This window comes from Homo sapiens, chromosome 19 (genome assembly GCF_000001405.40).
Source record: "Homo sapiens chromosome 19, GRCh38.p14 Primary Assembly".
NCBI lineage: Eukaryota > Metazoa > Chordata > Mammalia > Primates > Hominidae > Homo > Homo sapiens.
Window position 1 is genome coordinate 48,061,281 of NC_000019.10, and position 13,854 is coordinate 48,075,134.

At 48.4% G+C, this 13,854-nt stretch overlaps 1 protein-coding gene and 1 long non-coding RNA gene across 10 annotated transcripts in view, besides 3 other annotated features; one reads left to right on the plus strand and one right to left on the minus strand.

Annotated features, from left to right (window-relative positions):
• The window catches only part of PLA2G4C (phospholipase A2 group IVC), a 62,972-nt gene that overhangs the window by 13,435 nt on the left and 35,683 nt on the right, over nt 1-13,854 (minus strand). For 5 of the 7 annotated variants that reach the window (NM_001159322.2, XM_011527431.4, NM_003706.3 and 2 more), the window contains 3 exons: nt 13,487-13,594; nt 6,511-6,606; nt 718-872 (listed from right to left, as the gene is read on the minus strand). In NM_001159322.2, coding sequence (NP_001152794.1) covers nt 718-872; nt 6,511-6,606; nt 13,487-13,594 — 359 coding nt within the window. Of the gene's footprint in view, nt 1-290; nt 558-717; nt 873-6,510; nt 6,607-13,486; nt 13,595-13,854 lie in introns of those variants that run through there. The other 2 variants (XM_047439584.1, XM_011527432.4) reach the window with 1 other exon arrangement.
• Nucleotides 73-666: an enhancer, noted in NCBI's record as "OCT4-NANOG-H3K27ac-H3K4me1 hESC enhancer chr19:48564610-48565203 (GRCh37/hg19 assembly coordinates)". NCBI's record gives its function as "activates a minimal SCP1, AML or CMV promoter by ChIP-STARR-seq in primed H9 embryonic stem cells {active_cell/tissue: H9 hESC(primed)}" and the evidence as "EXISTENCE:reporter gene assay evidence [ECO:0000049][PMID:30033119]".
• On the plus strand, nt 91-3,665 carry PLA2G4C-AS1 (PLA2G4C antisense RNA 1). Of its 3 annotated transcripts, NR_132363.1 has the most exons (5): nt 91-198; nt 338-408; nt 604-759; nt 2,550-2,643; nt 3,470-3,665. It is a non-coding gene; the product is annotated as a PLA2G4C antisense RNA 1 (long non-coding RNA). The 3 variants fall into 3 exon arrangements; NR_132364.1 differs by lacking the exons at nt 2,550-2,643; nt 3,470-3,665 and having other exon boundaries at nt 633-975; NR_132365.1 differs by lacking the exons at nt 2,550-2,643; nt 3,470-3,665 and having other exon boundaries at nt 306-408; nt 633-942.
• Nucleotides 667-1,259: an enhancer, noted in NCBI's record as "OCT4-NANOG-H3K27ac-H3K4me1 hESC enhancer chr19:48565204-48565796 (GRCh37/hg19 assembly coordinates)". NCBI's record gives its function as "activates a minimal SCP1, AML or CMV promoter by ChIP-STARR-seq in naive and primed H9 embryonic stem cells {active_cell/tissue: H9 hESC(naive and primed)}" and the evidence as "EXISTENCE:reporter gene assay evidence [ECO:0000049][PMID:30033119]".
• Nucleotides 1,260-1,852: an enhancer, noted in NCBI's record as "H3K27ac hESC enhancer chr19:48565797-48566389 (GRCh37/hg19 assembly coordinates)". NCBI's record gives its function as "activates a minimal SCP1, AML or CMV promoter by ChIP-STARR-seq in primed H9 embryonic stem cells {active_cell/tissue: H9 hESC(primed)}" and the evidence as "EXISTENCE:reporter gene assay evidence [ECO:0000049][PMID:30033119]".

The window sequence follows — 13,854 nt, forward strand, 5'->3', positions numbered from 1 at the left end:
GAGGGGAAGGGAGGGGAGGAAAATGTTTATAAACCCCACAGTAAGTGGCAGATACTGTGCTAAGCACTTCACATGTATTAACAAGTATTAATTTAATCCACAGAACAACTCCTGGTGGAGCCATCGTTAGCCCAATTTTACAGCTGAGGAAACCGACATGCACAGAAGTTACGCACATTGGATCAGGCCACACAGCTGGTAAGTGGCAGAGCTGGGATATGAAGGCAGGGAGAACGGATCCTAGTGGCCACTGGGAAGGTGCAATATGTACTAAGACAAATATACTTGCATATGTTCTCACTCAGCAAACATTTATTGAGGGCCACTATTTGCCCAGGAAACCCAGATGAGCAGGAAGACACGCGCTCGGGGCTGGAGACGTGCACACCCGGGGAAGGAGGTGCACAGGTGAGGAGCTAGGCTGTTGCAGTTCAAACTGGTATGAATGGGCAGGCAGGACGCAGAAGCGGGGAGAGTCATCTGCCAGGAAGAGGGGCCCGGGAAGGTCTGGGATGGCTTTGGATCAGAAGTTCGTTGGATGTGGCCGACCGCGGGTGCTTCGGGAGCGATGGGTGAGTTGATTTGGCTCTCTGGACTTCCCAGCCAGCACCTCCCCATTGCCCGCTTCCCAGCCCGCGTCCTCAGTTCCTCCGCAAAGTCAGCTTCGCCGCAGCCCACCTCCCACCCAGGACCGGCCCCAAAGCCCTTCTCGATTACCTCGAAAGGATCTCCGGCACTGAAGTCGAAGGAGAGGATGAGGTGAACCTCCCGCGTCGGGGGCAGCACGAGTGGGAAGGGAGTGTTGATGGCTAAACCAGCATCCACCAGGTGGAGGTGCTTCCGGCTGCTCATTATCTTGTCCCGGATGCCACCTGTGGTGCCCAGGAAGAAAGAGGATCAGCTGCTTCTGGGGACTGAAAGCAAGACTTGGAAATGGAAGGCAGAGAGGGGGATGGGAAAATGATCGTTGTCAGTGTAGACAGCAGTTGTGAGGTTGCCAACTAGGAGCTGACTTCTCTCTCTTCCCAGATTCATATGTTGAAGCCCTGGCTGGGTGCGGTGCCTCACACCTGAAATCCCAGCACTTTGGGGGCTGAGGCAGGTGGATCACTTGAGGTCAGGAGTTCAAGATCAGCCTGGCCAACACAGTGAAACCCTGTCTCTACTAAAAATATCAAAATTAGCCAGGCGTGGTGGCGGGTGCCTGTAATCACAGCTACTTGGGAGGCTGAGGCAGGAGGATCACTTGAACCCATGAGCCGGAGGTTGCAGTGAGCTGAGATCGCGCCACTGCACTCCAGCCTGGGTGACAGAGCGAGACTCTATCTCAAATAAATAAACAAATAAACAGACAAACACATGTTGAAGCTCTTACCTCCAGTACCTCAGAATGTGACTGTATTTGGAGACAGGGTCTTTAAAGAGGTAATTAAGGTAAAATGGGGTTTTTGGCGTGAAGTTCCAAATGAAGCTGCCTTCTCAGCAGCAATATGTGAGAGTGTTGTTAACCCAATGTTTCTGAGACAGGTCTCGGTCAGTGTAGAAAGTTTATTTTGCCAAGGTTAAGGATGCACAACCGTGACACAGCCTCAGGAGGTCATGATGACATGTGCCCAAGGCGGTTGGGGCACAGCTTGGTTTAGACATTTTAGGAAGACCCGAGATGTCAATATATGTAAGATGAACACTGGTTCGGTCTGGAAAGGTGGGACAACTCAAAGCAGGGAGGGGGCTTCCAGGTCACAGGTAGATAAGAAGTGAATGGTTGCATTCTTTTTTTTTGAGAAGGAGTCTCGTTCTGTTGCCCAGGCGGGAGTGCAGTGGCGCAATCTCCACTCACTGCAACCTCCACCTCCTGGCTTCAAGTGATTCTCTGCCTCAGCCTCCCAAGTAGCTGGGATTACAGGCACCCGCCACCATGCTGAGCTAATTTTTGTATTTCTAGTAGAGACAAGGTTTCCCCATCTTGGCAAGGCTGGTCTTGAACTCCTGACCTCGTGATCTACCCGCTTCTGCCTCCCAAAGTGCTGGCATTACAGGCGTGAGCCACGGGCCGGCCAACATTCTTTAGAGTTTCCATTAGCCTTTCCAACTGGAGGCAATCAGATACGCATTTATCTCAGTGAGCAGAGGGTGACTTTGAATAGAATGGGAGGCAGGTTTGCCCTGGGCAGTTCCCAGCTTGACTTTTCCCTTTAACTTGGTGATTTTGGGGTCCCGAGATTTATTTTCCTTTCACAGCGTAAACCAAAAATAAAATGATAAGCCCCTCCCCCCCACCCCCATCCCTCCCGTCCCCCCGCCAACACCCTCCCCAACTCCTACCCCCCCACAACACCACCCCAACCATCTGAATGAACCCTTCCTCTTGGCCAGGGCACCCCAGAGTTAACCTGAAAACCTAGTTCTGGCCGTGACAGGAAGGGAGGGTCAGACATGCCTCACGATGCCCTCCTCCCTTTGGGGATTTAAGGAAAGCTGACCAGCATTTAATATCCACCCAGAGCTTAAGTCTGACAAGAATCATTTACAATCTATTCTCTCTGAAGCTTGCTACCTGGAGCCTTCATCAGTTACTGGAAAGGGGTCCTGATCCAGACCCCAAGAAAGGGTTCTTGGATCTCATACAAGAAAGAATTCAGGGTGAGTCCACAGTGCAAAGCGAAAGCAAGTCTGTTAAGAAAGCAAAGGGGTGAAAGAATCGTTACTCCACAGAGTAGGGTGTTACGGAAAGTAAGAGGAGAAATGCAACCACCTCCTCCTTTTGTTATATATAGGAAAACAACAACAACAAAAAAACATGGGGAGATGTGCTCTGCTACAAGTATTTGTGATAAAGGATTAATTTTCATAATTACTCTATTTTGGCCGGGCACGGTGGCTCACGCCTGTAATCCCAGCACTTTGGGAGGCCAAGGTGGGTGGATCACCTGAGGTCAGGAGTTCAAGACCAGCCTGACCAACATGGTGAAATCCTGTCTCTACTAAAAACACAAAAATTAGCCAGGCGTGGTGGCACCTGCCTGTAATCTCAGCTACTCGGGAGGCTGAGGCAGGAGAATCGCTTGAACCCGGGAGGCGGAGGTTGCAGTAATCTGAGATTGTGCCACTGCACTCTAGCCTGGGCAACAAAGAGCAAAACTCTGTCTCAAAAAAAAAAAAAACCAAAAACCATAATTACTATATTTTACAAGAACTTATATTATTATTTTTAAAGCAAAATTAGGAATGCGTCTGTTCTCAAGATATCAGGATATCAGGACATTCCTGGGTCTGAGTCTGTTTAGTAAACATTATGAATCTGTTCCCTTAACCATAACCATCTAGAGGCTAGGAATGCCTAACTTCCTGGGGATACAGCCCAGCAAGGCTGAGCCTCATTTTTCCTAGCCCTCATTCAAGATAGAGTCACTCTGGTTCCAATGCCTCTCACACATCTGCATGATAAAACTTTGAAACATTCCAATAGAATGACTAGTGCTCTTCTAAGAAGAGGGGATTAGAACAGAGACACACATGGAGCAAAGACCATACGAGGATATGAGAAGGTGGCTGTCTGCAAATCACAGAGAGAGTCCTCAGAAAGAACTCACCCCACAGACAACTTGATTTTGGACTTCCAGCCTTGAGAACTGTGAGAAAATAAATGTCTGTCGTTTAAGTCACCCAGTCTGTGGGATTTTGTCACAGCAGCCTGAGCAGACTAAGACAGTACCTCTGGGAATGGTTCCTCTTGCTGATGAAAAGAGTCAAACTCTGGAAAATATTTGAAGAGGTTTATTCTGAGCCAAATGTGAGTGACCAATGGCCCGTGACACAGTCCTCAGGAGATCCTGAGAACATGTGGCCTAGGTGGTTGGGGCACAGCCTAGGTTTATACATTTTAGGGAGATATGAGACATCAATCAAATATATCTAAGATATACCTTGGTTCGGTCCAGAAAGGTGAGACGACTTGAAGTCATGGAGGGGTAGAGGTGAGGGGTGAGGAGGGGTCGGGGGGGGGCTTCCAGGTTATAGGTAGATTTAAAGTTTTCTGATTGACGGTTGGGCACAGTGGCTCACACCTGTGCACCTATAATCCCAGCACTTTGGGAGGCCAAGGTGGGCAGATCATTTGAGGTTAGGAGTTTGAGACCAGCCTAGCCAATGTGGTGAAACCCTGTCTCTACTAAAAATACAAAAATCAGTTGAGCATGGTGACATGTGCCTGTAATCCCAGCTACTCAGGAGGCTGAGGTGGTGGTTGCAGTGAGCCAAGATTGTACCACTGTACTGCAGCCTGGGTGACAGAGCGAGACTCCATCGCAAAATAAATAAATAAATAAATAAAAATAATTAATAAATAAATATATGGAAAATAAAATAAAAATATCTGATTGGCTATTGGTTTAAAGAGTTATTAGCAATAGAAAGGAATGTCTGGGTTATGACAAGGGGTTGTGGAGACCAAAGTTTTATCACGTATATGATGCCTCCAGGTAGCAGGCTTCAGAGAGAACAGAATGTAAATGTTTCTTATCAGACTTAAAATCTGTGTTGAGGTGGCTCACGCCTGTAATCCCAACACTTTGGGAGGCCAAGGTGGGTAGATCACGAGGTCAGGAGTTTGAGACCAGCCTGACCAACATGGAGAAACCCTGTCTCTACTAAAAATACAAAATTAGCCAGGCGTGGTGGCGCATGCCTGTAATCCCAGCTACTCGGGAGGCAGGAGAATCGCTTAAACCCAGGAGGCGGAGGTTGCGGTGAGCTGAGATCGCGCCATTGCACTCCAGCCTGGGCAAAAAGAGCAAAACTCCATCTCAAAAAAAAAAAAAAAAATTTGTGTTGACATGACTGCTAGTCAGCTTTTCCTGAATTCCAAAAGGGAGGAGGGTATAAGGAGGCATGTCCGACCCCCACTTCCCATCAGGGACTGAACCCATTTTTCAGGTTAACTTTGGAGTGCCCTGGCTGACAGGAGAGGTCTATTCAGATGGTTGGGTGGTGGGGGGCTTAGAATTTTATTTTTGGTTTACACTCTCATATATTGCTACTGAGAAAGCGACTTCATCCAACCCCTTCAGGGAGAAATTTGATGCTAAAACACTCATCGCCATGATCCAGTGACTTGATGCTTGATGGTGTATTCCGAGGCCATAAGACCCGGCAGCTGCATGGCATGGTGCGCAGACACAGCTGAAGTCCTGTGTGCCTTGTAGGAAGCACCCCAGGAGAGGTGAGCAGGACTGACATCCAGCCAGGGTTCCCTTCCCAGGCCACACACAGCCCTGGCCAGGGGGGCACATTTTGGAATTCACCCCCCTGGAAGATGCACCTTTTCTCGATTTGCACAAGGGCAACAGGACCACAAACATAAAGATGTTCACGATAGTCTTGTAACAAAAGAGTGGGGAAGGCCAGGTGTGGGGTGGCTCACACCTGTAATCCCAGCACTTTGGGAGGCTGAGGTGGGAGGATCGCTTGAGCCCAGGGGTTCAAGATCAGTCTGGGCAACATAGTGAGACCCCATCTCTATGAAAAAGAAAAAGAAAAATTAGCCAGGCATGGTGCTGTGTGCCTGTGTTCCCAGCTATTCGGGAGGCTGAAATGGGAGGATTGCTTGAGCTGGGGAGGCTGAGGCTGCAGTGAGCCATGATTGCACCACTGCATTCCCACCTGGGCAACAGAGCAAGACACACACACACACACACACACACACACACATACACATACATGAGTGGTGCAGGGATTGGCATGGTCATAGGAGAGGATCTCCACCAGCTATGAACATTGGAGCTTATGGAGACTATTAAATGGCCTCAGTGTGAGTTCCCAGGAGTCTGACATCAATTCCACCTGAATGAGAGGGTCAGTCCCCTGAAGGGAAAACCCATACAAATGTGTGTTGTTTTTTTTTTTTTTAGATGGTGTCTCGCTCTGTTGCCAGGCTGGAGTGCAGTGGGATGATCGCGGCTCACTGCAACCTCTGCCTCCTGGGTTCAAACGATTCTCCTGCCTCAGCCTCCTGAGTAGCTGGGACTACAGGCACCCGCCACCCTGTCCGGCTAATTTTTGTATTTTTAGTAGGGACAGGGTTTTACCATGTTGGCCAAGCTAGTCTTGAACTCCTGACCTCAAGTGATCCGCCCGCCTCAGCCTCCCAAAGTGCTGGGATTACAGGCATGAGCCACTGCGCCCAGCCCATACAAGTGTTTTTGAAGACCAGGTCCTAGGACTAGCTGACAAGAAATTAGGGTTTTTTGCATTTTTGCAAAACCAGAGAAAGCCATCAGTGAGGCTTTTCACGATGACTGGGACTCGCAGCGAGGCCACACATTTTTCAGTATGGACCACACCACTGAGCGAAAGTTCCCCTAATCAGATCCCTGGGCCCTTTGACACCACCCCCCTCCAAAGCTCTGGGGAAGGACCAGCCTGGGATTGTTTCAGGCCCACCCCCTTCCCCTACTCCAGCCCATTCACACGCAAGGACAGACCAGGGCGGTGGGAAGAGGGTCTTCTCACCGTGTTTGTACAGGAAGTTGTGAGTGGTCCCCCATTCCCACTTTGAAGCGCAAATGCCTGTTTTCTTCACAAAATCCATCAAGTTACTGAGTGAGCCTAGGGAAAGAAGCCGAGACAGCCAAGGTGAGTTCAGGAGACTGAGTGGTTTCTGCCCCCACCAAAGTCATATGTGGAAGCCCTCATCCCCCATGGGGTTGTATCTGGAGACAGGACTTTTAAAGAGGTCATTCAGGGCCGGCGCGTTGGCTCACGCCAGTCATCCCAGCACTTTGGGAGGCCGAGGCAGAAGGATCACCATATCAAGAGATCGAGACCATCCTGGCCAACATGGTGAAACCCTGTCTCTACTAAAAATACAAAAATTAGCTGGGCGTGGTGGTGGCGCATGCCTGTAGTCCCAGCTACTGGGGAGGCTGAGGCAGGAGAATCGCTTGAACCTGGGAGGCAGAGGCTGAAGTGAGCCGAGATCGTGCCACTGAACTCCAGCCTGATGACGGAGCGAGACTCCATCTCAAAAAAAAAAAAAAAAAAAAAAGTGGGGGGGTCATTCAGGATAACTGAGGTCATGAGAGTGGGATCCTAATTCAATAGGACTGGGGTCTTTATGAGAAGAGAAAGAGTGCCAGGCACCAGAGTAATCCCAGGACTTAGGGAAGCCGAGGTGGGAGGATTGCTTGAGCCCAGAAGTTTGAGACCAGCTTGGGCAAGAGAGCGAGACCACATCTTTACAAAAATAAAATAAAATAAACAAATTAGCTGGGCATATTAATGCATGCCTGTGGTCCCAGCTATTCAGAAGGCTGAGGCAGGAGGATCACTTGAACCCAGTAGTTCAAGGCTGAAGTGAACTATGTATGATTGTGCCACTGCACTCCAGCCTGGGCATTCCAGCCTCACTTGTATCACTCAGATCATTTAGATACAAGGGAGACCTTGTATCTAAAAAAAAAAAAAAAAGAAAAAAAGGAAGACACCAAGAATACCAAGAATGCGTGTGCACTGAGGAAAGGCTGGGCTGAGAGGATGCGGTGAGAAGGCGGCCATCCCTCTGCAAGCCATGGAGAGAGGCCTCAGGAGAAACTGACCCCACTGGCACCTTGATCTTGGACTTCCTGCCTGCAGAATTGTAAGAAAATAAGGCTGGGCACAGTGACTCACATCTGTAATTCCAGCACTCTGGGAGGCCCAGGTGGGTGGGTCACTTGAGGTCAGGGGTTCGAGACCAGCCTGGGCAACATGGTGAAACCCCATCTCAAAAAAAAAAAAAAAAACGGTGAGGAAATAAAAGCCTATAGTTGAAGCCACCCCACTTCAACTTTTGTTAGGGCAGCAGAGCTGACAAATCTGGTGAGCTGGGAAAGGTTGGCATACAGGGGCCTGGGGGTCCTGGCCGTCAGATCCAGCATCTATCATTGAGCCACAGGTGAGATGACTTTGAGCCATTGGGGTTGGGGGAGTTGGCAAGGAAAAGATGGCGATTTAATGACTGTATGATCACCTGTGTATCTGGGGAAATGAGCTTGTTCTCTTTAGGTTCATGGGGGAGAACGACGCAGAATGTTCCAGGAGCTGTTCCAAAATGCCCAGCACACTTTCCCGTGCTCCCTTCCCCAGCCCAAGAGGCTGCCAAGTCAGTCAGGGATAAACCAGGTCATTATCCCAGACGCCTGCCTCTTCCTCACCCTCACCCTGGACTATCACCAAGACCTGCCAATTCCACCTCCTCTTCAGTGTCTCTGCTCCTCCCAATCTCATCTGCCAGTACCTTATGCAGCATCTTTTCCATCCAGGATGCAACACTGCCTCCCCCTCTGATTTCCCTCTTCCTGGTTTTTCAGCTCCAATCCTTTCTCTGAACAGCAGGGGCAGAGTGGCAAGAGAGCAAAGCTAGTAGGGAGGTGGGTGCTTGAGCTAGATGCTGATTTGAATTTGACTTCATCACTCATTAGCTGTGTGACCCTGAGCAAGTTACTTTTATTTATTTATTTTTTCTTGAGACAGTCTTGCTCTGTCACCCAGGCTGTAGTGCAGTGGTGCAATCTCGGCTCACTGCAACCTCCGCCTCCTGCGCTCAAGTGATTCTCCTGCCTCAGCCTCCCAAATAGCTAGGACCACAGGCACCCACCACTACGCCCGGCTAAATATTTTTTTGTATTTGTAGTAGAGACGGGGTTTCGCTATGTTGGTCAGGCTGGTCTCGAACTCCTGACCTCAGGTGATTCACCCACTTCGGCCTCCCAAAGTGCTAGGATTACAAACATGAGCCACTGCACCGGGCCCCTGAGCAAGTTACTTAACATCTCTGTTCTCATCTGTAAAACCAGGAAGAGAGTAACACCTATCCCTTATAGATTTATGAGGAATAAGTAAGAGCCTGCCTATAGCACTTAGGATGTTGGGAGGATGGTTTAACATGTCAACTAGGCTGGGCCACAGTAACCAGTTATTTAATCAAACACTAGCCTAGATGTGGCTGTGAAGGTATTTTGTAGATGTGGTTGACAGCTAAAATCAGTTGACTTCAAGAAGATTATTCTCAGTAATGTGGGTGGGTCTCATCTACTCAGTTGAAGGCTTTGAGGGCAAAACAGTTTCTAGAGAAGAAGAAATTCTACCTCCAGACTGGAGCGTCAAATTCTGCCTCATGCATGCGTATGCTCATTGCAGCACTATTCACAATAGCAAAGACATGGAATCAACCAAATATACCCATCAATGGTAGACTGGATAAGGAAAATGTGGCACATATACACCATGGAATACTATGCAGCCAGAAAAAGGAACAAGATCATGTCCTTTGCAGGGACAGGGATGGAGCTGGAAGCCATTATCCTCAGCAAACTAATGCAGGAACAGAAAACCAAACACCACATGTTCTCACTTATAAGTGGCAGCTGAATGATGAGAATATATGGACACAGGGAGGGGAACAACACACACTGGGGCCTGTTGAGGGGGCGGTGGGAGGGAAAACATCAGGGTAAACAGCTAATGCATGTGGGGCTTAATATCTAGGTGATGGGTTGATAAGTGCAGCAAACCACCATGGCATACGTTTACCTGGGTAACAAACCTGCATGTCCTGCACATGTATCCTCAAACTTTAAATTAAATTAAATTTTAAAAAATCCTGTCTCGGTTTCCGCCTGTTGGCCTGCCCCATGGATTTTGGACTTGTCATCTTCACAATCCCATGAGCCAATTTGTTAAAATAAATATCTCTAGTTAGATAGATAGAGATAGATAGCTATAAATACATAGATATAGATGCATAGATTTGGGCAGACAGAGACATAGATAGGTAGATATAGATAGATAGATATCTTATTGGCTCTGTTTCTCTGAAGAAACCTAACACATCCAGCAAATAGTAGGCACTTAATAAATATTAACTTCTACAAGAGTTTAGCAGCAGAAAAGCAAATCACACCTACATTGCTTTGATAGCCCTTTAATATTTAACATGTTAAAGAAAACTAAATGTGGCCTGAGGACTCCATACTTCTTCTTTTTTTTTGAGACAGAGTTTCACTCTTGTTGCCCAGGCTGGAGTGCAATGGCGTGATCTCAGCTCACTGCAACCTCCGCCTCCCGGGTTCAAGCGATTCTCCTGCCTCAGCCTCCCAAGTAGCTAGGATTACAGGCATGTGCCACCACGCCCGGCGAATTTTGTATTTTTGCATTTTTAGTAGAGACAGAGTTTGCCATGTTGGCCAGGCTGGTCTCAAGCTCCTGACCTCAAGCGATCCGCCCACCTTGGCCTCTCAAAGTGCTGGGATTAAAGCCATGAGCCACCACACCCGGCCATTCTATCTTATATTTTTATTTATTTATTTTAGAGAGGAGGTCTCACTACGTTGCCCAGGCTTGCTGGTCTTGAACTCCTGGCCTCAAGCGACCCTCCCGCCTCAGCCTCCTGAGTAGCTGGGACTACAGGCGTGAGCCATCACACCTGGCTTTTTTAAATGTTTTATCTATTTATTAATTTTGTTTAAAAAAGATGAGGTCTCACAGTGTTTTCCAGGCTAGTCTTGAATACCTGGGCTCAAGTATATCTTATAGTAAGTTAAGAATTGGCCGGGCACAGTGGCTCACATCTGTAATCCCAGCACTTTGGGAGCCTGAGGTGGGCGGATCACAAGGTCAGGAGTTCAAGACCAGCCTGGCCAATATGATGAAACCCTGTCTCTACTAAAATTACAAAAATTAGCCGGGTGTGGTGGTGCATGCCTGTGGTCCCAGCTACTCGGGAGGCTGAGGCAGGAGAATCGCTTGAACCCGGGAGGCAGAGGTTGCAGTGAGCCAAGATTGCACCACCGCACTCCAGCTTGGGTGACAGAGCGAGACTCCATCTCAAACAAACAAACAAAAACAAAAAACAAAACAAAAAAAAGTACGTTTTTTAAAAGAAAACTTTTTAAGGGATGGGGGTCTCACTCTGAGTGCAGTGGTGCATTCATAGCTCACTGCAGCCTCCAACTCCTGGGCTTAAGGAATCCTCCCACCTCAGCCTCCCCGAATAGCTGGGACTACAGGTGCACGCACCACCATGGCCGGCTAGGATGCATGTTCTCATTTCAGCACAGGAGCCAGGCATTATAGAAAGTCATAGTGAGGCTTCGTGTGGCACATTCCATCTCTCTCCATTACCCACCGGAGGGGTAAACCCAAGCCTCTCATCTGCCAGACTGAAGTCAGTAGATGAACTCTGGCTGACTTTCCCCACATTTCCACTTGGTAGGCTCATTGTCACTCATTCTTCAAGTTGCTTCTGAGCTATCACCTTGGAAAAGGAGGCTTCTTCATTAATCCCATCTAAGGGGAGCTTGGCCAACAATAGCTCAGAGACATCAAGTTAATAGTCGGCTCCCTCTTTAAATTGTAGACAAAGGAAACCAGAGAATAGACTGATTTCATCCAACAGAGATAAAAACAGGAATTTATGTAACATGAATAAAAGGAGGAGGAAGGGAAATCTAGAGTCTGAAGAGAGTACACCTTGATTTCCTTTCCTTGGTGAGCTGCTGATGAGCTGGTCAGGAGGACTCTGGGTGTGTCTGTGCCTGGACACCGGGTCATCACAGAGGTGAGAGGTTGGATGTCTGGGGGTGAGACTGGCTGTACCTGGGTCATCTCAGGAAGGCAGTGGCTTCAGCGACCAACTGTCTTCATTGTCCCTCATCCACGCTACTTCACTCTCAGAATTTTTCACCGGATACCTGCTCTCGCCTCTCCTTGTCTCTCCATATAATTTACTTATTTATTATTTTTTCGAGACAGGGTCTTGCTCTGTCACCCAGGCTGGAATGCAGTGGCACAATCATAGTTCACTACAGCCTCGACCTCTTGGGCTCAAGTGATCCTCCTGCCTCAGCCTCCTGAGTAGCTGGGACCATGGGAACGCACTACCATGTCCAGCTAATTTTTTACAAAAAATTTTGTAGAGATGGGGTCTTGCTATGTTGCCCAAGCTGGTTTTGAACTCCTGGGCTCAAGTGATCTTCCTGCCTCAGCCTCCCAAAGTGCTGGGATTACAGGTGTGAGCCACTGCACCCAGCCCTCTCCATAGAAATTAGCCCAGTCGGGGATGGACTTGCCTGTGGTTGGCTTACCTGTCTATTCTCCATCTCGTCCTCTAGACCATGAGTCCTCCAGGCAGGCACTTGGTCTGACATTTCCCCTTTGTCACCCCTACCCCCAGCCTGCTAGTAGGAGAGTTATTATTTCATGCTAATGACTCAAGACATCCTAGATGGATGGATGGCCGGTTGGGTGGATAGAGGGTGGGCGTATCAGTCCATTCTTGCATTACTATAAAGAAGTACCTGAGGTTGGATAATTTATAAAGAAAAGAGGTTTAATTGTCTCACAGTTCTGGATGCTGTACAGGAAGCGTGGTGCTGGCATCTGCTTCTGGTGGGGCCTCAGGAAGCTTCCAATCATGATGGAAAGTGAATGGGGAGCAGGCACATCACTTGCCGAGAGCAGGAGCAAGAGAGCGAGGGGGAAGGTGCCACACACTTCTAAACAACCGTATCTCACATGAACTCAGAGCAAGCACTTACTAATCACCAAGAGGATGACGCTAAGCCATTCATGAGGGATCCGCCCCCATGATCCAATCACCTCCCACCAGGCCCCACCTCCAACACTGGGGATTACATTTCTTTTTCTTTTAATTTAATTTAATTTAATTTAATTTTAAGTTCCGGGACACATGTGCAGGACGTGTAGATTTGTTACACAGGTAAACATGTGCCATGGCGGTTTGCTGCACCTATCAACCCATCACATAGGTATTAAGCCCCACATGCATTAGCTAATTTTCCTGGTGCTCTTCTTCTCCCCACCCGCCCCCAACAGGCCCCAGTGTGTGTTGTTCCCCTCCCTGCGTCCATGTGTTCTCATCATTCAGCTCCCACTTATAAGTGAGAACATGTGGTGTTTGGTTTTCTGTTCCTGCAATAGTTTGCTGAGGATAATGACTTCCAGCTCCACCCATATCCCTGCAGAGGACATGATCTTGTTCCTTTTTCTGGCTGCATAGTATTCCATGGTGTATATGTACCACATTTTCTTTATCCAGTCTATCACTGATGGGCATTTGGGTTGATTCCATGTCTTTGATATTGTGAATAGTGCTGCAGTGAACATACATGTGCCTGTATCTTTCTAACAGAATGATTTACATTCCTTTGGGCATATACCCAGTAATGGGATTGCTGGGCCAAATAGTATTTCTGGATCTAGATCCTTGAGGAATTCCACACTGTCTCCTACAATGGTTGAACTAATTTACATTGGGGGATTACATTCCAACATGAGATGTGGAAGGGAACAAATATCCAAACTGTACCAGTGGGACATCTGGTCATGTCCCCTGCAGGACTGGCCCACAGGGGTGGGGAAGAGCAAGAGGGGGGAGAAGGTTGGTGGCACTTACTGTTGATGACACTTATCACACTACACATGGTACCTTTCCTTTCGGGGTCCTCATGGGGCTGCTCCTGCTTTTCCAGGGAGGTCCTGGTCCAATTCTCGAGCATCTCAGTCAGCCAGGTGTGTTCAGGCTCACCGCCTTCATCTACGTCAAGAAATCCAGGTGGTCTCAGACACTGTCCAAGTACCCTACCAAGAACATCACAGACCCTGCTCTGCCTCATCTTCTGCAATGCCCTGCGGTTCCTCCTGAGGTGACCTCCTTCTCCAGGTGACCCTCTCTCCCCTTGCCTTCTGCTGACCCCCATGTTACCTCACTCTCTCTGACTTTCTGGCCTCTTTTTTCTAGCTCCTTCATCTCTGCCTCCACCTCTACTCATCTTTTGCACGCTTATTTTCTTCAGG